Source organism: Homo sapiens, chromosome 6 (genome assembly GCF_000001405.40).
Source record: "Homo sapiens chromosome 6, GRCh38.p14 Primary Assembly".
Lineage (NCBI taxonomy): Eukaryota > Metazoa > Chordata > Mammalia > Primates > Hominidae > Homo > Homo sapiens.
In genome coordinates this window covers 90,914,127-90,939,174 of record NC_000006.12, presented here as the reverse complement: position 1 = coordinate 90,939,174, position 25,048 = coordinate 90,914,127, and the positions used below count along the sequence as shown (strand labels likewise).

The 25,048-nt window shown below is 36.8% G+C and overlaps 1 long non-coding RNA gene across 1 annotated transcript in view, besides 1 other annotated feature; it reads right to left on the bottom strand.

Annotated features, from left to right (window-relative positions):
- The window catches only part of LOC107986623 (uncharacterized), a 324,476-nt gene that overhangs the window by 16,697 nt on the left and 282,731 nt on the right, over nt 1-25,048 (bottom strand). The gene's annotated exons all lie outside the window — the stretch shown is intronic.
- Nucleotides 23,562-24,071: an enhancer, noted in NCBI's record as "NANOG hESC enhancer chr6:91624822-91625331 (GRCh37/hg19 assembly coordinates)". NCBI's record gives its function as "activates a minimal SCP1, AML or CMV promoter by ChIP-STARR-seq in naive H9 embryonic stem cells {active_cell/tissue: H9 hESC(naive)}" and the evidence as "EXISTENCE:reporter gene assay evidence [ECO:0000049][PMID:30033119]".

The window sequence follows — 25,048 nt, the reverse complement described above, 5'->3', positions numbered from 1 at the left end:
TTCATTTAGAACAAACTTCCATGGTTTTACTGAATCCTACCTACTGATAAACTCAGAAAGCAACCCAAGTATCCCTGGCGCCTTGTTTCAGCCATCAAATGTGTGCAAGTAGTATATGTTCAAGTTCTTATTTCAGCAAAGAGAAATAGTCAACGCTTGGGAAGGAGTAGGAAATCAGGGGCAGGGGGTGAGGGGAGGAAGGCTTCACAATATATACATATAATTGGTTGAAAAATAAACATATGTGTTATCTGGAGTTTCTTTTTCCGTTCCATAGGTTATAAAATGGTCTTACTTGGGGTGAGAGGGGAATCAGAAGCTGTGTGATCAAAACGTCTTGAAAAACAGAAATGATGGTTTAGACAAAGTCAAGTGGGTTGCTTTATGCAGGACTTCTAAGAGCCTTTCCTAAGCAAGTGGGCAATGTCTATTTCTGAGAGAGTGGTGTGATATTTCCCAAAGTTATCTTCAAAGGGAATCCTGTCTTCACTGAGCATCCTGGGAACATTATTCCCAATACTACAAGGCCACTCTGGGAAACACTAAACCAGTTGTGTAGCAATTTATAAATAGCCTCAGAATTCCAATAGTTAACTAAAGATTTTCAGTTTACTATTTCTGTTGCCTAATTACTTTAACGCAGTTAACAGAAATAATAACAGAAAGTTATACCCCATATTATTATATTTATCCACCCTATTCCATTTGAGTTTCTTACAATTGCTGGCTGTACCCTGAGGCTCTATGAACTGAAGTTCCTGTGGTTTGATTTAAAATATTTTAATTAAGTGAAGCTTTCTGCCCCCAGGCTTTCTAAAGCAATTTTCAAAACCTCAGAAACAAACAAATAAACATCATACCAATGGTGTTACCACTGAAAAACCACAACCATTTCTAGGCAGGCATTTCTTGCTTTGTTGTACTAAGCATAGAAGTATTTTATTCCAAATGACAACAATAAATCATAAAGTTAGGCAAAGCAGTACCAAAGTTATATGCCTTAGGCATCATGGGAAATACAAAGCTCACCACAAAAAAACCTTCTGAAGCTGAAGAAGTCATTTTATATAGCGTGTATTGTGACTATCTAATTTAGGACTAGGGTTATCAAAGTTTTTCTGATGAAGATTTTTTTTCTGATTTCCCATAAAAGTGTTATGTTTTCATTTTAGGAATATACATGTGCATTTTCTTTTGGTTTCTGGAGGGAATCAACAAGGGTTTCAGGACATACATAGTAATGTTTCTCAACTGTAGTCCCAGTACCAGAAACTTTAGCATTCAGGGAAACAGAAATGCAAATTCTCAGACCCCCAAGTCAGACCTACTGAAAGGGAAATTTTGGAGATGGAGCCCAACAGTTGGTGTTAACAAGTTCCTCCAGGTGATTCTGATGTTCACTAACGATTGAGAACCACCCAGTTAGAGCAGAAGCTTTGATATCATAAAGACTTGGATTTGAAGTCACTTAATGGTTCTAATCCTTAGTTTTCTTGCCTATAAAATGACTTTGAAAAACAGTAACATCACCTGCCTCAAAGGGTTGCTTTCAAGAAGGGAAAAACGAGATAGACTCTACAATGCCTGGCAGCAGCCAGCTTGAAGACAGAACAATTAAGTCATTTATCAGCCCACTATTTAGGGTAGAAGGGAAGCCTTCATTTAGGGAGAAAACTAAGCTTTCGTCTTTTTCCTGCAAATATCATTCTCGAACAGCCAGCTCAGGGACCCCTGGTATGCTGTGAATCCTTTCAGTTATGCTCCCAAATTTTGTTCAGTGTATGAAATTGGTCCTTGCTACTCAAGTGCATATACTTTTATTACCACGGATGTCAGAAAGAATTTTTTGCTGAGTGGGTCTTGTGATTTAGTAAGAGCAAAACTACAGCTTGCTGTGAGTAAGGTAAAAGACAGTGCACCTTTGCCCAAGAACGATTTCATATTGACTGGCCAGGCAAGAACTTGGCCTCTGGAGCACTGCGGGAGTGTTCTCAGGGCAGTGAAGAGGGGACAGTGACAGGTGGGAGTGGGGGTCCAAGAGGCCAGCGTCAGGATGAGCACTCACAAGGGCCAGGGGCAGTGACCTCTCCATCTCACCCCTCTGAAGGGGTCCACTCTTCTTCCTCATTTTATAGATGCAGAATCTGATGACGAGAGTCATTAAGTAAGGGGCCTAGTGTCACTGAGCCAGTACCCAGAGCTCCATCTGTCTACCCTTCACGGCAGGCCCGTCTAGCTCCCAATCCCTGGGGTGCTATTATGAACACGGTGCCATTATAGTCACACCATAGCGGTGATTGGGTTGAAATTATTGCTGAATTGCTTAGTTTTGTTTTGAGCTTTTGAATTCCTTCAAGTACACCACTAAAATTTCTAATATCCCAAAGTGTGCCAAGAACACAGAAAGGATGATAAGCAGTGGGCTAGGTTTTAATGGTAAGTTTCTACTCAGTTATTCTGCCCCGGTGCCTTGCCTTTGGAAACCACATTGCAAAGCTTCAGCCTCCTTTGATCCTGACTCCCACTAAAATGAGTTTCTCTAAAGCGGGTTTAAAACTCATATTTGTATTCTACCTTGAATGCTTACAGTGACCCATAGTCTCATTTCCCATCTTCCCCTTTGGAATTCACCCTGTGGCTTCTGTTTCCTGCTTCCCCAGTCTGAATTCTTAATTGGCCTTATCTCCCCCTCATCACCTCTGGCCCTGCTGGTAACCAGTCCCTAGAGAAGAGCTGGCAATTGTAACAGAACAGGGAGTGCTTTCCTCTCATTTGCTGGAATGATCCGGGGACTGGGTTCTGCACGCCAGAAATCAATTGAACCCATACAGCTTAGCACTTTGGCAGCTTTTCGACCCCCACCTGCTTTTCCAATATCATCTTATCCGTTCCCTTCTGATCCAATCCATTACATGAAACTGAAGTATACTTCATTTATTAGCTGCTCTTTTAAAATTCTGTTAAGACAGGGAACGGAAAAAGGCAGAAAGAAAAATGCTCGAAAATGGAAATTTTGGTCATTTTGGGAAAGGGGTGTTGAAGTCTCCGTACTTGAGGGGTTTCATTATATACTTCAAAGTAAAATTAACGCTATTGCTGAGTTTTATTCATTCCTTTCAAAATACATATCCATGCTGGCAGCATCCCACCTCTCACTCTTAGTAAACTCGCATTTAAGACTGATTGATCCTCTTATCTTTCACTAAGACTTCTTGGCCTTTGAAGAGCATTTCCTGTGTCATTAAGATTTTGATTTCCAGTTCTTGAAATCGACAACAAACACCACTTTCCTAGTTTTATGGGACAGTTGGGCCCTTGTCATTAGCACACACTTCAGGTTTCTGAACTGACATTTTGTTCAAGAGTATAACAGAAGAGCTAATTATGCTGCATCTCTGCTGTAGAGCTTTTGGCCTTGTAGAGGTATTCAGAACTTCGCAACTTGGGTTGGGTGGTTCTCAGGCCAAGGAAATCCCTATAGTTCGATGACACAATTAGAACGGCCAAGGCCTCCAGGATGTTTATCAAAATTACCCTCAGAATTTATCTCCAGAAACAATAAAAATAGAGATAAAGACAAGGTGAAGTGGGTGGGGTTTTTTTTTCCAAGTATTTCCTCATCAACTTAAATAAAAAGTAGAAGACAGCAAATTATATTCGCAGCTGAGGTGTTTTTTCTCTATTGCACATAGTTATCTGGTTTCAAAAACCAGTCACAGCACACACAATGTCAATTGCTGGAACTTTGGGGAAACAGAATGAGAGCACCTTGTTTTAGGAAATTATCTGTCTTAATTTTGAATCCACCTTAGTCGTCATCACTGGGGATTTGGAGAATGCTAAGCCCCTCTGATTTCTGACCCAGAAGGCATACAGGGGTTTTTTATGCTGAGGTTAATGTCACAACCTACGTGTTGAAAAGCATTTCCGACACTTCTTCTACAAAGTTAATCAGAAAATCCTAGTTCCTCTAGCGAAGCGTTAGCTGAAGGCCTCAAACGTGGCGATTAGGCACCAGCTGCATTTCTCATGTGCCCTCCTGCTGAACTTCCACCCATGTCTTAAAAAGAAGCCTCCAGCATCTTAATCCTAACTTCATGTCACTATTTGAAAGGTTACTATAGTCTAGACTTTCTTCATAATCTTCCAAAACAGAGTGAGTATTTTTACCCAAGCTGGAGATAGGAAGAGAAGAACAAAGCTCTTTTCTCTGTCCATGGCTCAGGCTAATCAAAGTTTCAATCACCTTCCAGCAACTTCCTGAACGGAAACCAGCCAGGTCTCTCATTTCTTTATCTATCGTGGCCTCGAGATAGCACAAACCAAAGTGCCATGGATTGTTTTCCTTATGATTTACGGAATCTTTCTGCTTCCTCTCATATTCACAGTATCCTCTCTTTAACTGAACAGCAGCCCCTACAATTGGGCGGCAGCATTCCTAAAGATTTAAAAAGTCTACAGCCCGAAAAACAAAGCCAATAGACATTTTTCATGTTAAATTCATGAGCTAAAAGAAACGTACAATGTTCCTCATGATATAATCTTTTTCCTCTTAGAGCTTCTATTCCTAATAGAATTTTTTTTTCAATTGTGATTATTATTTTTGTTTTCAGTAAATGTTACCTCGTCCCATCAGGGAAAGGTGAAACCCAAGACTTTCAGATGTGAATTTATTGTTGCTTCACTTTTCATTATGTGTTTAAATTGATATCTGGTAGATATATTTATAGTCTTGACTATTTCTGTTAAGACAGCAGCAGTATAACTGGCTTAAAACAGAAAAAGTAGAAAATGGTAATCTGTGATTAAACTCACATTCCGTAGCCTTCCAGCCAGCCACAGGCTAAGAGAAAAGGTGGTTTTCAGTTGTAGAGAAAAGAGTCAAGGGACACGGGGCAGGCAGGCTATGGTGGGGGCACTTTGAGGTATTTTAAAGCTGTGTCGGAATGTAATGATAAGCTCTCTCACAGAAGCAGCAAAGATCTGTGAACAATCCCTTTCTCCGAACTGCTTCAATTTATATCCACAATTGGTCATTTACGCTACATGTAGATGTGGTAATTTCCTTGACCATTTTAAAAAGTGAAATCTGCTAAGGATTTTTAAGAATTATTTTGAAAACTTATTACAACACCGGGGCTCATTCAGGGGCACCAGCCCCAGGCTTCTATTTCCATAGTTTCTCTTCACTAACCAAGGAGAGTACAATTGGTGTTCACCTATCAGCTAAAGTGACACATTTTGGTTGGATCCCTGTGAATTTATACCTATTTAATTAGGATTCATATACAATATGCTCTCTCTTCTTAATATCTTCTTTTCTAGCTTTTGATCAAAAAAATGAGAAAAAAGACAAAGCATCTACATTTTTGGCATATTAAAAATATTTGTTCTCATTGACAGTTCTTTCCATGGCAAATGGCATTATTTTGAAAGAAAGCTTGATTTCTTTACCTTATATTTGCTGGGCTTTACAGAATAGGATCCTGTTACCATTGAGGAAATGTTTTGGGACAATAGTTTTTCATGAGCTCCAGGAAAAAGTTATATAAAATTGTCAATCTCAAAATTTACATGAGTATTTTACATTAACATTTTTTCCCATAAGATTTCTCTGTTCTTTCTTCATTGTTAAGCAATTGTCTGTCTTGCAAAAAAGTATTAGCCAGATTTTCATAGTTAGTATTCAGACATTCTGATGCAAAACAGTACAGTTAGTACTATTTCATATGAAACCATTTGGATTTGTATCTGGTAAGATTATTTTTACTCATTTTTTTAGTCCCTTGTTCACAGTACCCATTTAAAGTCATTTATGGATTAATTAATTGACAAATGAATGCGTGCATGCCTTATGGTCCATCAAAATTTTTTTTAGCTTTTTATAGTATATGAACTTTCTGTGCTGTTGCTGTTTCTTTACAAAAAGGCCTTCTCATACTCAGAGGTCTATATACTTAAAGAACTTTTAATAATGTCATCAAAGAAAATGGACACTTTGAATTCAAATTCTAGCTCATTCATTTACCAGCTGTGTGATTTTTGAAGTTAAAAAAAAAGGAATAATAATACCTACATGGTAAGGTTGTTCTCAGAGCCAGAAATAATGTGTTTTAAATGCCTGTCACACAGCAGGCATTCTATATATTGATGTTGGCATTTTTTTAGCACTAGAAAAAAAGTCTTAAGAAACCCTGAGCACCTGCCACACTCACCAACTCCTTCTGAATAAAGCATCCATAAACACTTCCTTAGGCATGATCCTTGGTTTCTGAGACCCCACTGTTTTTCCTAGATGCCTAAATCAAGGGTTAGTATCTGAATCTAAAGCAGTCTGACATGCATTGGCCATCAGCCTGTGGCATCACCTTGTGCGAGAAGAAATTCACACAATAACAAGACTGCAATAAATAAGGACAACCGATCAATCCTATCCTCTCTTCTCTCAGGGAGTTTGAATGTAAGTCACCCACAGATCAGATGTGGAGCAGAGCTGATGTGAAATGGTTTGTGGAGAAAAAGCGGCATGCAGAAGCTCTCAAAGAGCCAAAACAAGAGGGGGAGTTAGGAATAGCATAGAAGCAGATTCAGTAGAAGAGGCTGAAAGAAGGTGACTTGAGAATGAGGAAGTGATGGACAAACCCACTCCAAGGTGCTGCCTCCTAGAGTGGCTACTGCTGTCCCAGAGCATGTCAGATCTCCTAGCTGTTCAGCTGTGAGCAGCCAGTTGCCTGTGCCTCATTATTTCCCATTATATCTATCCCTTGTAATAATTCACCCCCCACAGGTCTTGCCTCTGTTCCTTGTGACCAACCTGTGTATTACCCACATGGTAATAGGGAGCAGAAGGTAGAAGCCAGAGCAGGAGTGAGGGGTGCTGACCGATGGTGGGGGACATCTCACTTTGTCAGCTTTTTATTCTTTCCCCTCTTGCTTCCATCTTTCACCTGCACCACTCAATCCACCACAGTGTTGAAAAGGAGCACAAAGGTCACTTATGCTAACTGGTCATGGGGACATTTGTAATTCAACATTCAACATTAATCCCCCTTCCTAACTATACCCTAAATTTTCTTCTTTGAAAACTTTCCCCTCCTCCTTTAAGAAGGATGGTGAATCCAACTGCCCTGATCCCCCTCCCATGATGCTAAAAAGGTCTCTATAAAATTCTTCAACTATCTTATGCCTCTTCTCTTCCTTATTCCGCTAAGGAGTGAGCACAAGTTTTAAGGTCAGCTAACAGATTCTTTCTCCAGAGATTTTAACCCTTAAGCGGAGAGACCGAGGTCAGAGGAGCAATTGACACTCTTATTTTCCCATCACTTTGCCCTTCATACTCTCTATCTGGCCACACCCTCTCCTTATTGCTCCTTAAACACATTTTGCAGCTCCTTTTCCTTCTTTCTGCCAAACTCTCCCCACAGGGTTTCTAGTACCTTCCTCAGTATTCTGTTCTGTTACTATATTTCCTTTCAGAACTCTTCTTAGCACTTATCACTTCTTGGAGTATTACATACTTATTTATTTATTAGTTTTGTGTCTATTTACTCACTAAAATATAAGAGCACAAGACCAGGACTCTTGTTCATTCCTTGTAGTATCCCCCTGCCCAGATCTTATGAGTACCCAATAAACATTTATTAAATAAAGTAGGAATTTGTTCTTTCCATTGATGGTGTCTTGCCTGTATTGTGGAGTGGTTTTGCCAACTAGACCTTTTGGAGTTGCCTGGATTTTTCTTTTTTCCACCATAGGTCTACTAGACTCTATTAGCAACTCCAAGCTTTCACAAATCCTTTCAATACATTCCCTTCTTGCATAAGTTGCCTAAGATATTTAATTTTGCTTTTAACAAATGAACCCTAGTTTACACACTTCCTAATCAATGCTTGAATTACAAAACCCTGAGTTCTCACCTGAATTCTGGGCAGGCAACAAAAGAAATGGGAAACTCATCATCCCACAAGTTTTCATCTTAGAAAATGTTTTTGTTCCATTATAGATCCTACTTCTCCCATCTGGGACAAAGGTAAACCAACTTAATGCCTCCTCCATTGATCAAAGTAAATCAACTTAAAGCAATTGCCTCCAAGACGGTATGAGTTATTGGTATCTTTAAACTGTGGGCACTAACTTGAATTCCAAAACAAGGAACTTAGAAATCTAAAAATAATTTGTAGTTTTTTTATGAGCATTGGATGACAAAGGGACAATTTACTTAGGTTAGCTTCCTTGTGGTGCTTCATTCCTACTCCAACTTCTGATATTTTCCCAACATTTTATACCTCTTCCTTTCTCCTTTATTAGAACACCAAAAAGAGAGAGAAGAGAAAGCACACTAAAGAAAAGAGAAACAAAGAAAAGAGAAGTAGTAGAGCAACCCGAACATTGTTTAGCAATTTCCATCCACACATTTCTCTTCACATGTTACTTTATCATAAGTCTGAATGTGTACTATTGTGATGGTTTGTGTATTGCACCTTATACGTAATATATATTACATAATATATAATATATATTTCATATTTATCTATATATTAAAATATATATATAATATATAACTTGGCTAATTGTGACCTCATTCATCTAACATACATTTATAGAATGAATAAAATATCTTCATTTCCTAGAAGACTTAAAACTTTGAAATTGTAAAATTAGAAAAGATTTAAGCTCTTTGGCTCAGAGAAGCAGGACAGATAAATAGAAAAGTAACCTGATTCCAGGGTAAATAAAATTATGCAGTAAACTAAGAAATTTGGAACAGAAAGAAAGTTCCAGACATATCTGTGAGAACAGTCTCCAACATGAAACAGGACTAGGTTTTGTATCCTAAAACTGAATATACCTGTTCTTTATGTAGTTTGCATTAGGTTATCCTTACATTTGTAGTAAAGAGGTTTTGATTGTACTAAAGAAAACCAGCCCAATAGCATGTAGCTGCTGTGATGATTCACCACCTGGAAAAGTAAAAGAAAACAAAAGGTCCATATTCCTAACGCCATAGCCATGAGAAGAACCTTAACATGGCATGAGCAGTAAATCAGCATCAAAACTGAGTCTCCTCTTTCCTTTCAAAACCCTAGCTTCATGTTAGTTTACACACCCCTGGCATCAGTTGCCCTGGACATCTCTACTTAAATTCTGCTCCACTGCCCTGCTTTCTATCAGACATAAATAATTCCTATTCTCACTACTTCTAATCCTCTTATTTCCTTCCACAAAATTATACTAATCTGAATCTTCCTATTCAAATGTTTCTTAAAACCACTTTTAAGAAATTACAGGTTGAGAATCCCTAATCCTCATAGCAAAATCCAAAATGTTTGCCAATCTGAAACTTCCTGAGGGCTGACATGATGCTCAAAGCTTCCGATTTTGGATTTCTGGATTAAGAAAGCTGAACCAGTAAGTATAATGTAAATATTCCAAAATCTGAAAAAACATCAGAAATCTGAAATGCTTCTGATCCCAAGCATTTCAGATAAAGGATACCCTACCTATATTAGCTAACCCACTTACTGACATAGTTTTATCATGTTGCTAACAATAAAAATATGAAAAGCAACAGTATGCAGCAAAAGCATTGGCCAAAACTTGAAAGGAAAATTTGTTTTTACAAAAATTTATCTCCATGATATCTATACTCATCTTCTACTCCTATAGCTAGGTCTGGCTTAGAAGTGACAAACTTCTAAATGCAACAACTATCAATTCTAACTCAACTTTTAAACTGCCCCTCAGTTATAATATCAATAACCTTCAATCTGTCTCTCATAACACTAGGCAGTCTTTCTAAAATACAAGTGGAGAATACAAATTCTGGTCCATGAACACAGATATGCATATGTAAAATAAAGGACCCCCATGAATATGGACCCTTTTGTTTTCTTTTACCTTCCCAGGTAGTAAATCCTCACAGCAGCTATATGCTCTTGGGCTGGTTTTCCTCACTACAATCAAAACCACTTTATTACATTTAAAAACTTCTCAAATCTGCTGAATAAGAATCTTAATATTTTGGAATTTAGAAAAAAGAGGTCAAGGCAAATTTAAAAAAAAAATCAATAAAAAACAGTTTAGCTGTGGTTTATAGGGGACATAAATAAACAAATAAATCTGCCTTGTGCTAATGCCTTTGTAACTATTGTAAGATGCCACAGTGTCTTGCATTCTGCAGTCTTCAATCCCAATATTCATATTTAGTATACTGCTATCCTATTAATGTTCACATACATACAGTAAATTTGTAGAAAGTTCAAGTCAAAAATACTTCCCCCACCTAAATTCAACTCAGTAGCTAAAAAATGGGAATAGAACATTGATTTTTATTCTAATTTACTATTTTAATTTTGGAACCTAAATTGTTTTGGTAGCAAAAGCAACCATACTTCTGATATCCATCAACATTCAAAGCAGGATGCAAGTCAGGAGCTTGTGGTAGTCATCTGTACTACCAGATTAGTACAGATGCTATCTGAGAATGAAGACTTCAGGAAAGAAAGCAGCACCTGCAGAAGGACAGAAATGGATTCCTGCTTAGATGATCAGGGTAGCTAGACCTAGCTGTGAAACCCACATATTATCCAAACATTAGGCGAACTCACATATTATCTAAACATTTCATGTGTATCAGGCAATACATTATATTTTAGCAATATGAGTTCAATTTCTAGCACTGCAACCTGAAGAATTAGGACTAATACAGCAACCTATTTATGAAATATCAAAATGAACAAAGAAATCTAGAAAAGGAATGGTCATTCTCCTACGAAAAACATACCCATGGATATTGGGGACTTGCCAAGCTTTCTTTGTGGAAGTTGCTAGAGATTAGTCACTACCTCATCTAATCACTGTAGTCTGCCCCAACCCCTCTCCTAATAGAACTTCTCTACACCCCTGAGAATTCAGAGTCTGTTTACACAGCCCCAGTGAATGGCGGCTGAGCTGCAGGACCTCTTCCCAATCACAGCTGACTTTACCAGGAGTAGTCACCATACTCAAACTAGCCAGTCCAGTTCTCTCTCTGTAAAAACTAAAATTATGTAGTCTCTGGTGATTCTTAAACTAAAAGGACACAGCTTGGTGTGGACATTTTATACATGTGCTCATTTTAAAAAATCAGATGAATAAGAAAAAACAACTTGCTGCAGAAATAACAAAGAATTAAGCTAGTATCCAACATGCATCAGAGAGACCCGGAAAAACAGTAGCTCCCTTGGTCTTAGACTTATTCTCCTTCTATATTCTGGCTATAGGTCTAAGTTCTGGTTACATTGTTTGCCCTTCTAATAATTCAATATATTTTTCCTTGCAGCTTGAGCTAGTTTGAATGGGTTTTGGCTATTTGCAACCACTCTCTCTCTGAAAAACAGATTACCTAGTATATGTAAAATATTTGAGGTATTTTAAAGAGAAAGTTAAATCAATTCAGAGTATGAATAAAGGTGGTCCCAAATTTTAGGTTCAATTTATGCTTTTGGCAACTTCAACTTTAAGAGAAATTCCACAAAGGTAAATCCCCTTGTCCGTGCACTGTGTGTTTGCAGGTAGTTAAGTGCAGGTCCTTAGCTTTAGCTATTTGGACATTAATGAAAACCATTCAAATGATTCAATACAGGCAGAGAAAAATGCAAAACAGTGATAGGGACTATATTTTTAAAGCATTATCTCAGACAGACCTATGAGTACTTGCCACCAGAGTGATCCTTCTAAAACCCTAAACTGATCGTGCCTTTCCTGCTTCAAATCCTCTTATAGTGCATCATTTATTTTAATAGAAAATGCAAACTTATTGGTTTAGTGCTTACCTACTTCCCCAATCCCATGTCTCACACTCAGTTCCTCACATATACCTTACAAGCACTCCTCAGTCTTTCAACACAGTATCCCAACTCTAGAATAAAATGAACACATTATCTTGGGGTCTAAGGGCATTGCCAAAACTGCTCTTGCAAGCACAAAATTTATATGAAATACTCATGCTTGGTTGCATAAATTTTTACATTCTTTTCAATAACATATTCAAATATTTTGAGATATATTTCCCAAGAATTGAAAATCCATGAGTTTTAAGATTGTCTAATTTATTAACTATCCCTGATGTCTGTTAGAGTGCCTAGCACAGATTAGGTCGTCAATAAATATTTGTCAAACCAATAAAAAGTAAATTTTGGGGGGTAAATAAGGTCACATCTATTCTGTGGCCTTACATACTCCTGTAACACAAGTTTGTCTGACAGCTTGAGAAGAAGTGCTCTGGTTATTCTGAGTTGTATATTTCCTGACTCATTCCTACACACTCTTCAAGATACCATTAACTATCATCTATTGGGAGCCTTCCTTGCCTTCCTGAGGAGCACTTCTCCTGTGCCCTGTAAGCATCTCTAGCATAAAATGCAGTATACTGTACAGTAATGATTTGTCTACTTTGCTATCTTCCCTACAAGATTAGAAACTCCCTTAGGTTGTGATCCATGTTTTGTTCCCATCAGTAGCTCCAGCACCTGGCCCATTGAAGGTTTGCATGAACATGGTGTTGAATAAATGAATGAAAGAGTCAATGATTCAGATCACCTGGAATAAACACGTGGCTGCCACCATTATACTTTTTTGTTGGTCACCACTAAATGCAGATATCAGCAGTATGAGACATGGTAAAACCTGGGATATCCCTCTGGCTGATCCATCATCTCTTACCTTTCCTTTAGAAAAACTGAGTAGAGGATGAAGTTATATAACCAGAACACTTTAGATGCAGACACAATAATTTTTAAACTGTGTTTGTGCCAAGAGCCACTATACACTACTATTTCTTCCATGCTTATAGGGCTTATAACAAAGTAGTCATGAACTAACAAAACACTGATGCCCTAAGAACAAAAGTGCAGCCCTCTCCTCTGATCTATTCCTTCAGCTGCTTGGCCTGTTACTCAAAGAGGCCCAGTTACCACAGCCAGAACCTATACCCAGTTGTGACCTGTCATAAAGGAGTGTCAAACTTTATTCTTAGCACAACTAAGTATTTAAATATGTTGGAAAATTAAACACTGATGAATTAATCTGACATCCCAAATATTTATCTTTTGCTTTAGAAACACCAGAGGGAGAAAATCAGTAGTTTATGCAGTATGGGTCATGAGTACATAGAATAAACAGCCAATCTCCAGTGCAGCTTGCACCCTTCTCAACAGCAGGAAACCCTTCCAGCATTACTGTGTCCTTTATAATCTATAACACTTTGGGGAATCTGGAAATTGTTTTGCCGCCAAAGCATATAGGGGGAAGGAGGGGCAACACGCCAGCACCTCTTAAAGCAAGCACAAAAGTGCCATTCTCTCATCCAGCAAAACAATGAGATTAGCTCTTTTATCACTAATTTTTTACTCTCCTTGCCTACTTTGTAAACACGGCATGGATGACTTTGCTCCTTATCAGCCGCAAACTGAATCTGCCTTTGTCGAAGCACTGTCAATCAGCAGCCTCTCTGTGCATACACTCAGTGATATACCCAACTGAAAAAAGACAGACTTTCAATTTCCCCGCAATAACAGAAAAAACATAAAAATAAACTGAATGAAAAACAGAAAAGACTCTTCTGTACAGTGTAATCTAGGGTTCATTTACTCTGCTAGACAGAATGAGATTAAAAACCAATGAAGGTCAAAGCTATTAACATTTGGATCAGAGGGCATTTTGCCTGTTAGGATCTAGTTAGACTGGGCCTTTGTAATTGCCCAGTTTTTTTCCAACATGTCATGTAAACACTAACATTAGCTAAAGCCTGAGTGGGCTCAGGCTCCACATAGGCAGCTTTATCTTTGATTAGCAGCAAAAACACGTAATTCTTTATATATCAATTTGAATGGTCAATGAACCTCTTCAGTTTTGCTAGTACCACTTGATTGTGACATTTCCAAATGGACCATAATTTGATTTCCCTTTAGAACCCTTCTGCTGTTCATTTTTTAAAGTATATGATTGACAGCTTCCTTGCATACTAGGCAACTTTGAGGGCCAGCACATTAGACTTAACAAAGAATGCCCTTGATCATCAGGAAAGACTAAGGAAATTTGAGTGCTAGTCTAGAAGATAACCTTTCATGATTAAATTACTGTCAACATACCATGAAACAGCTCCTTCCTCAAGCTCTGGCAGTAACATCTTTCCTTTGTTCTTATGTTTCCTGAAAATGAAAGCTGAACTGTGAGAGCACCTTCTAGACAAAACTTAGCACCCTCTACTCACATTGTCTATTCCCATTGCAAGCAAATAATGCATGGGAACTGTGTGTGTGACTTTGAATGCATGCCCAAGCCCTTCAAAAAAAGCTGAACAATATTTACATTTCTATCAACATTGTTACACGTAAAGGAAGCTTTTCCACCTTCCATGTCTCCATTTTCTTCTCTACCCACACAAACACCTCTGTCCTCATGTCTCAAATCCCCTTGAAGTCTTCCCTGACATCACTAAATATCAGGAGCTTCTGATGTTATGAATGTACATAACACTTCCAGACTTTATTGTAGACTGATGTGGTTTGCTTTTGTTTCTTGTTTATTCATATAAGAGTCTAACATTATAATTATTTGTTAATTTCCATTTCCCCTACTAAGCTCTGAGCTTAATAAGGTAGGACTATGTCATCTATGTTTTTAATATCAGCATCCAGTCTTGACACTGAATCATTGAATAAACTAATCCTTAGAAGAGCAGAGACCATTTCAGAGTACTATTCTTTTAGTCCCAATGACACTTTAGTTATTTAAACTAAGCAGGATGGCTGTATGTGTTACCCATATCTTTATACTATTCTTAATAAAAAGTTACATTCGTATGTTACATACAAATGTTGTATTGTAATTTCTGTAGAGTCAGCTTACCTTTTAGATTATGGTTTAAATTAAATGTCATTTGTTGCATTATTCTTACTGCTTGCTTTGGCTAGACAGTTTCATTGCAATGAATTAAATCCCCAGGAAAGCTAGCTTTGAAAATAGGAATTCTCAAAAATCCCAGCCCAGATTGGGAAAAACTATAATAAATTCAAACATCTACCTTTTGTCCCTGTCTCCACTTTTGCTTCTCAAAGGATCATTCCATTCTCTCCTTCACTTCTATATGGGACATCACTGCCACCTCAATAGGGTGGCTTCAGCCGCTGAGTCTACATAATATTGCAGAGCCAGAACCCAGAAAAATATGAATTGCTCTGTCCACATCACAATTCAAACTTTGGGGATGAAAAAACTAGTTGGCCCACTTTGGTTTATGCTTCTACCTCTAGTCCAATCATTTATGGACAAAGTCACAGGATACATACGCCTACACATTCTTTAAGAAGGGAATGGAAGAAAGCACACACCAAAAAGACATCTTCATTACATGTATTTCTGAACATTTCTACCACACACAGGAAAATCTGAATTCATTGTTTCATTATTATTAATCCAACCAATATTTACTGAGTACTAACTGTTCAAGTTTCTAAGATAGATTCCCACACACAAAGATGATTTGTAGACTCAGGGCAGGAGAAATACATACTCCAATGTATGGAGTATGCATGGAAAAAGATAATTAAAATATATTGTGATGTGATCAAGAGTACTGTCATCTTTTTAACAAATAATGCTGTTGGAATGTTTGGACGTTCATATGCAAAAAATCACAACTTTGACCCAAACCTTACATTTTACACAAAAATTAGTTCCAAATGGATTATAGACCTAAATGCAGAATGTTAGACTGTAAAATGTTTAGAAGAAAACATAGGAGAAAATCTTCTTGACTTGGAGCTAGGCAAGGAGGTCTTGTATGTAGTACCAAAAGCATAATCCATAAAAGGAAAATTTAATATATTAAACTTTTGCCCTACCAAAGACACTGCTAAGGGAACAAAAATGCAAATTAGAGATTAAGAGAAAATATTTGCAAATCACATATCTGATAAATGACTTACATCCATAACATATAAAGAATTCTCAAACTCAATAAAGAACTCTCAAACTCAATAGTAAAAAAAAAAAATTTAATTTAAAAATCTTTTTTTAATGGTCATAAGACTTACATAAATGCTTCACCAAAGAGAATATATGGATAATGAATAAACACATGAAAAGATGTTCAACATCACTAACCATTGAAAATTACTTAACATTAAAAAAATTCCTTAATGTAAAGATGAAAAACCACATTAGCATCTCAATTGAGGCAAAAACACAAATAAGTAAAATACAATTCAATACTTCTTCATATGAGAAAATCTTACTAAGCCAGGATTAGAAGGACAATCTGATAAAGATTATCTGTCAGAAGCCTATAGCAAAATCATACTTAATTATCAAATATTAAGAACATTTTCTTTACATAAGAAAGACAAGAATTGCCACTTTCATCATTTCTATTCAACATTGTCTTATGGATCTTAGCCAGCAATGTAAGAAAAAGAAATAAAAAGATATCAAAATTAGAAAGGAGGAAACAGTCACTAGTAACAGATAATAAAATTGCCTTGTTACCTACTTTTTAAAACATATTTTAAACTTTGTTTCTGATAACCCTAATATCTGGACCACATCTAGGTATGATTCTATTCTCTGAGTTTTGTCCTGGCTTTCCCTCATTTGGTTTTGTGTCCTGATATGCCTGATCAGCATTTATTGAATGTTAGACATTATAAATGCAAAATTGGAGAAACTCTGAATGATATTTTCATCTTCTAGGGAAAGTTCACATTTCTTCCAGTTGGCAGTTAGGGTTGGAGCAGATCACCTTGACCTAATCCAGGAAAGAGTGATTTCAAGACTAGATTTCAGGCTTCCCGAGTTTGTCTTTACTCTTAGAGTATAGCTTACAGAGACTTAAAGCGTGAAGCATTCACTAGGGCCTCTCGTAGAATTCATCTACAAAATAATCTAGGCCTATTGTTTTCTTGGGAGAAATTGGTTAAAATGCTAATTTGAATTTCAATGATAGTAGGACTATATAAAGCTTACTTTTCTGTCTTGTCAGTTTTTAATACATAATTCATATTTTCCCAGAATTTTCCTCTATAGTCTGTTTTAAAATTTATTGAAAATAATAAAATCATGTTTGCAGTATTATAATATTTTCTTCTTATCTCTGTGGTAGCTGGTTTCCTGTTTCATTCTATAAAAAATTGTGTCTTCTCTTTTTTTAAATGTTGATCAATCTTTCCAGAAATTTGTATAATTTATTAATCTTTCCAAGAACAAATTTTGACATTATTGTTTCACTTTATTGTATCTTTGTTTCCCATTTCAGTTGTTTCCCTATTTTTATCAATTTTTTCATTCTACTTTCTCTATGTTTATTTGGGAATTAATTTTATAACTTCTAATATTAGCAACTTAGTTCATTAACTGTCTTTTTAACTAACATAAGCATTTAAAATTATAAATATCCCTTGAAACACAGTTGTATCTCTATCTAGCAAGTGATGAAGTGTTTTCAATTAACATTCAGTTAAAAGTATTGTTAATATTCATGTTTTGTTTGGATCATAACTTTTTTAGATGAGTAGTTTATTATTTTTTCTAAGTATAGAGCTGTTTGGGAGTATCTCTTTGTTACTGATTTTTAAGTTGATTGCATTTTGATCAGATAATGTAATATATGTGATACCAGTACTTCGAAATGTGTTGACATTCACTTTATTGCATACTGTATATCTTTTATAAAAGATCTGTGTTTGCTTGAGGAAAACAAATATAATTGCAGGCTCATTAAATCAATCTTATTGAGTTGTTCAATGTCTTATATCCTTACTAAAACTTTTTTACCAATTGGTTATAGAGAGATCTTTTGGAAAGAGTTGATTTGACAAAATTTGCTTTATGTATTTAGAGGTTCTTTTATTACGTGCATGTAAGTTTAAAGTTTTCAATCCCTCTGGTAAACTGAACCATTTATTGTTGTGTGGTCATCCTCTTTATTGCTGTATATGGTTTTGGTCTTTATGTCTAACTTTTCTAATGGTAGTTTAGATAACTCAGCCCTTATTTTGTTAATATGTACTTGGTTTATATTGTTTCTTTTATCTTCAGCTTTTCTGTAACCTTAGATTTTAGTAGCATCTTTCATAAAGAGTATATAGTTTGATTTTTTAATATATACTACTTGACAATCTCATTTATTGGTGAGCTTAACCCAATACATTTATATATCTGGATTTCTTTCTATCATATAGTGTTTTTTCTTCATTTATCATGCTTTTATACTGCTTCTTTCTTCTTTGGGATTGTCTGCTTTTAAACTTTTTCTTACCCTGTTTTTTCTCTTTGCTAATTTGAAATTTATAGTTACCATTTCTATTCTTTCATTTTACCAAGATATTTAGAATAACAAAATCTACAGTTAATGTATATCTCTACCCTTCTTCCAAAAATTACTGGGATTTTAGAGTGTTCTGACTTGTCTGAAACCCCACACCTAGATTACATGCTACTTTGTCTAATTCTTTATACTTCCCTTGTTAGTGGTATTATTTCTGATTTTTATTATTTATTATTGCTGTTTTAGCAAACTCTTGTTTTCTAGGTTATTCATAGTTATCTCTCAGCATTTTATACATTTTATGTTATTATAGATCCCCTTTTGCTATTAAATGTTTGCTTTAATTTACTATTGCTTTATAGGGAATGTCTCTTTTCTCTCCATTTCTGTTTAATGTCGCCTCTTTGCCTTTGCTATTCTACATTTACACTATGGTCTCTGGGTATGTATTTCTTTTTATTTATCCCACTTCTTACATTGATGGATTTACACCTATTAGACATTATCTCTTTAAATATTTACTTGTTTCTATTCTATTTTCTTTTTTGGCAACTCACTTACTTCTGGGTCTTTTATTGAAAAATCATCCTTTATATTTTAAAAATATTTCATAAATTTTATTATATGTTTCTATTCAAATATAGTCTTTTTAAAACAAAATTTATGTTTTTCTATTGAAGCTGTTCTTATCAGATTATGTTCTTATACATTTGACTGTTTTTAATTGTAAGTTTACATTTGTCTAAATTTAATGTAGGTGATTCCTAAAAGGCCTGAACTAGGAATATTTTTCGTCAAGGAAGATTCACATTTGCTTCTTCTTGATAGGTTGGGATACTACCACACTGAAGCCATGCTATTAAATTTCCCCAAGTATAGATTCTCTTGTCTTTAAGGTAGCATAAATTCAAAGCCCCAACTTGCATTCTTAGTCAGAATATGTTTCTTGATCAAGTCCCTTCACAGATTTGCAAACACTGTATTGCGCATCATTTCATAGACCTATAGGTCCCTCATGTGTCCTAGCCTTCTATATGTGTCTCAAGTAGTCTCAACAACCCCTATCCATTTGTCTGGGCCCAAGACTTAGTCTCTTCTCATTCTAGGTGACTACTAATTTTTGAAATTCTGGTTTCTTAGTATTGGCTTTTGCCCCCTAAGACAGCAACATCTTCTGCATCAGTGTTAAACTATCTGTATAGTTTTAGCTCTTCTTCAATATTTCCAGTGTTCACAAATATTAACTCTCTTGTAAGCTTAGCAATACATCTTAAATTATATTTGTTGTCATTTAGTCAGTATCTGAGTGTTTTATGTTAATGCAAGTCTTTATAGAATGTCTTGTCTGCCATACTGCCAGAAGCAGTTATGTGTTATTACTAGTTTTTAAAATGTATTGTCACCTAAAACTTTACATTTCTGTTGCTATTCCCTGAGCATTTAAAAAAAGAATTTTTTTTCCTCTTGTAAATTTAGTGTTTGGTACCTATTAATTAGACCTATCCTATCCTATTCATTATGATACTTAGGTCTTCTTACCCAGACTTTTTGTCTACTTCATCAGTTATGAAGCAAGAGCAGTGAGTTAATATTTCCTACTATGAATGTTTCTGTATATTACTCTTTGAATTTCTTGTCATTTGTTTTATAAATTTTCATGCTATGTTACTTAGTACAGAAATCTTCACTGTGAACTAACTTTATAGAATACCTTTTTCATGTTATTTAATGTTTTTGCTCTAAATTCATTGCAAGCTCATATTGATTTCAATCCTCTTTTAATGGCAGTCCCTTACAATGCTTTTGCTTATCATTTATTTTCTAATATTTCTTTGCTTACTTTGTTTTCCTCACATACAGACATAGTTAGATTTTAGCCAACTACCCTTAAACCTTTCTGTCTATGCGACAAAAAAAAAGAGAAACTGCTAGGTTGTTTTTTCCTTTTAGAATTTGATAATGGGATAAGGAGCATACTTAGATCTGAAAATAAATTTCAGTATTGATATTCTTCTAATTAGTTTTCTGACTTTTAGCACTTTCAGAAAGCATTGGCTTATATTTTCCCAGAAGTTAGATTAGAAAAATAACACCTTCCCTGTTTATCATTCAAGGTTTCTGAAATATGAATACAGAAAAGCTGCTATGCTTTAAAGTGGTATATTATATATAATATACTACCACTTTCAAAATACATTTTATCTTTCCCTGTTAACTTAATCAGGAAGAGCTAAATTTAATCTCTCATAAATTCATAGCCATTCATGAAACAATCCAGTAACTTCCCCATTTTACTATGTCATAAATCATGGTAGGAAAGCTGTGACCACCACTCTGAACCACCAGAAAGTAAGACTGCTTTGAGTATAAGAGACACAGCCATGCAATGTGTCCATTGCATGATAATTGGTGAATTGTTTCTGTGTTACTGATTAAATTGGAAAAAATACATTTTGAGGCATTTCTTTATTCCAGATACTAATTCTGATTTATGTTTTTGGAGTATTTTATTTGTATTGTCTGAGGGTCTTCCTGTAAAAATGTTTTGACATCTTACTTCTGTATGTTTTATGCCACTGATTTCTTATACAATGTTCTTATGATTCATGGTTTCCATCTTAAGTCCTTGTTGTTCTTTCCCTCACAAATATATTGTGCTCGCTTTATGTTTCTGCCTAGAGAATACTATGTGAATACATGTGGTTTCTGGTATATTTCTTAGGCTATTTACCGAAAAATTTATTTTGGCCTTTATTTCATTTCTATAGTCTACGGCCATTGTTATACTCAATAAGGAAGATGGAGTTCAAGGAATTTATTGGCCAAGAAGTTTGAAAATACTGGCCCATGGAAGGCCTATATAATTTTTTCATTATCCCTCCCCCAAGATATCTGTGGCCAAGAATTCCAGGGTAGATATTAGGGAGGTAAATTGCAACTTAGTCAACGAGAGTTATGAAATCTAACACAGAAACATTGGAAAAATGATTATATTTTTGAAACTTTTAAGCCTGTTATAAATTACAGTTTTACAGAAAAGCACAATCTAATTTCAATTTACCTTTCTGCTGGGCAAAAGAAAACAAAGTAAGCACGCAGAAATAAGTCTGGATGTTTCTAGTCTTTCTTCCCCCCATGAAATGGAGTTTTCTTCTCTAAAATTGGAAGCATTTTCTAACAGATTTTCTGTCAACATTTAAACAGAGTTGCAGGTTAACAATCCAGGAAGTCCTGTGTGATCATAGAATACTTGAGTCAGAAAGGTTAGGCCTGAAAGGACCTTTGGGTGTCATTTAGCCCAGTCTTCTAGATGGCAAACCTGAGGTAAATTATTAATAAAGAAAAGTTTGTGGTTAGATTTCTAAAGAAATCTTTATGAGAAAAATATTTATAAGGAAGCATATTGTAATTTGTGAGAAATGTACAAGTATGTGAACAAGGATTTAGACATCCAGTTCTTAATTGTCTGCTCCATTCCAATTTACTTTTCCTAGTACACAAGAAAGCCAAAGTCAACGGAAATTGTAACAGCAGGAAAAGAAACCATCATCTAAGAAATCTGATCACAAGTTTAATCCCCCAACTACTATAGACTTGGATCACAGATGTTTTTAGTACTTCCAGGGAGGTTGTGCCTAACACATTTCTCTCAAGCTGATAAAGGCTCACAGTTTATTTATTTTAGAAAAACATTCTAAAATAAATCATGTTATGGCACTACAGCAAAACAATATTCTTTTGAAGTGGGGAAAGTTTTGTAATGGGCCTCCTGAGTCTCTTTCCCACATGGACTCTTAGCACCATTAGTAAGGCATCATTCTTTCAGATGACAGGAAAATGCTTATGCTGGTGGACTTGTGGCACCTTAGTTCCCATGTTTCTGTTAGAGGTTGAAGTTGCTTGATGAATTACAGAAGTTACATACAGCAATCGATATCTACAATATGATAGGAGAAACATACAATGGTGGTTATTCATGGTAATATAGGGAGAGACTCTGCTTTTACCATTTCTGCTGTTAACTTAGTAAGTGGCTCTTTGCACTCTGTAGACAGATGCCCATGAGTCAACCACTTCTGCCTTAAATCTCACCCTGAAAATCACTTTGAAACAAGCTTTTAAAAACAGATAGGAGTGTATTAGTCTGTTTTCACACTGCTACAAAGAACTGCCTGAGACTGGGTAATTTATAAAGGAAAGAGGTTTAATTGACTCACAATTCAGCATGACTGGGAGGCCTCAGGAGACTTACAATCATGTTGGAAGGGGAAGGGGAAGCAAGACACCTTCTTTACAAGGCAGCAGGAAGGAGAAGAGTAGCAGAGTGAAGGGGGAAGAGCCCCTTATAAAACCATCATATCTCATGAGAACTCACTCATTATCATGAGTACAGCATGGGGGAGGCCACCTCCATGATCCAGTCACCTCCACCTGGTCTCTCCCTTGACACGTGGGGATTATTGGGATTATGGGGACTACATTTCAAGATAAAATTTAGGAGAGGACACAAAACCTAATGATATCATTCCACCCTGACCCCTCCCAAATCTCATGTACTTTTCACATTTCAAAACACAATCATGCCTTCCCAATAGGTCCCCAAAGTCTTAATTGCAGCATTAAACCAAAAGTCCAAGTCCAAAGTCTCATCTGAGATAAGGCAAGTCCCTTCTGCTTATGAGCTTATAAAATCAAAAGCAAGTTAGTTACTTCCTAGATACAATGGGGGTACAGGCATTGGGTAAATACCCATTCCAAATGGGATAAATTGGCCAAAATGAAGGGCTACAGGCCCATGCAAGTCCAAAGTTCAATAAGGCAGTCATTCAACCTTAAAGTTCCAAAATAATCTCCTTTGACTCCATGTCTCACATCCAGGTCACACTGACACAAGAGATGAGTTCCCATGGCCTTGGGAAGCTCCAACCCTGTGGCTTTGCAGGGTACAGCCCTCCTCCTGGCTGCTTTCATGGGCTGATATGGAGTGTCTGCAGCTTTTCCAGGTGCACAGTACAAGCTGTCAGTGGATCTACCATTCTGTGGTATGGAGGACAATGACCCTCTTCTCACAGCTCCACTAGGTGGTGCCTCAGTGGGGATTCTGTCAGGGGCTTCAACCCCACTTTTCCCTTCTGCACTGCTCTAACAGAGGTTCTCCACAAGGGCTCCACACCGGCTGCAAGCTTCTGCCTGGACATCCAGGCATTTCCATACAACCTCTGAAATCGAGGCAAAGGTTCCCAAACCTCAGTTCTTGACTTCTGTGCACCCACAGGCCCAACACCATGTGTAAGCTGCCAAGGCATGGGGCTTGCACCCTCTGAAGCAACGGCCTGAGCTGTACATTGGCCCCTTCTAGCCACAGCTGGGTCACAGGGCACCAAGTCCTGAGGCTACACAAAGCAGTAAGGCCCTGGGCCCAGCCCAATAAACTATTTTTTCCTCCTAGGCCTCCCAGCTTTTGATGGGAGGGGCTGCCATAATGGCCACTGACATGCCCTGGAGGCATTTTCCCCATTGTCTTGGTGATTACCATTTGGCGCCTTGTTACTTATGCTAATTTCTGTAGCCGGCTTGAATTTCTCCTCAGAAAATGGGCTCTTCTTTTCTATTGCATGCTCAGGCTGCAAATTTGCCAAGCTTTTATGTTCTGCTTCCCTTTTAAATATAAGTTCCAATTTCAGATCATCTCTCTCAAGTTCAAAGTTCCACAGGTCTCCAGGGCAGGACAAAATGCTCCTAGTCTCTTTGCTAAAGCATAGCAAGAGCAACCTTTGCTCCAGTTCCCAAGAAGTTCCTCATCTCCATCTGAGACCACTTCTGCCTGGACTTCATTGTCCATATCATTATCAGCATTTGGCCAAAGCCATTCAACAAGTCTCTAGGAAACTCCAAACCTTCCCACATCTCCTGTTTTCTTCTGAGCTTTCCCTCCAAACTGTTCCAACCTCTGTCTGTTACCTAGTTCCAAAGTCATTTCCACATCTTTGGATATCTTCATAGCAGCAACCCACTCTCTGTGGTATCAATTTACATTATTAGTTCATTTTAATACTGCTATAAAGAACTGCCTGAGACTGGGTAACTTATAAAGAAAGCATTTTAATTGACTGACAGTTCAGCATGGCCAGGGCGGCCTCAGAAAATTTACAATCATGGCAGAAGGTGAAGGGATAGCAAGGCACCTTCTTCACGAGGCAGCAGAAAGGTGAAGAGTGGCAGAGTGAAGGAAGAATAGCCTCTTACAAAACCATCAGATCTCATGAGAACTCACTATCACAAGAACAGCATGGGGGAAACCACCCCCATGATCCAATCACCTCTACCTGTTCTCTTGACATATGGGGATTATGGGGATTACAATTCCCCCCATGATCCAATCACATCCACCTGATCTACCTTGACACGTGGGGATTATGGGGATTACAATTCAAGATGAGATTTGGGTGGGGCCACAGATCCTAACCATATCAAGGAGCAACAGAAATTTCCAATAATCTTGAAAGTTTAGGCAATGCTGTGGAATGGGCAACTTCTACCTTAAAGAGCTGTGACCTGGATTTTTATTTGTCTTACTTGTTTCTATTCCCCCTTTGTTATTTTCTCTCCCTTTAGTATAGTCATATCTAGTATTATTCTAGGAAACACTCCCACCTCTCCATTAAACATATTCTTTGAAAAAAATGTAGTAGACCATTTACCCTGAAGTATAATGGACAGATAGTTTATTGTGCCAACCTCCCT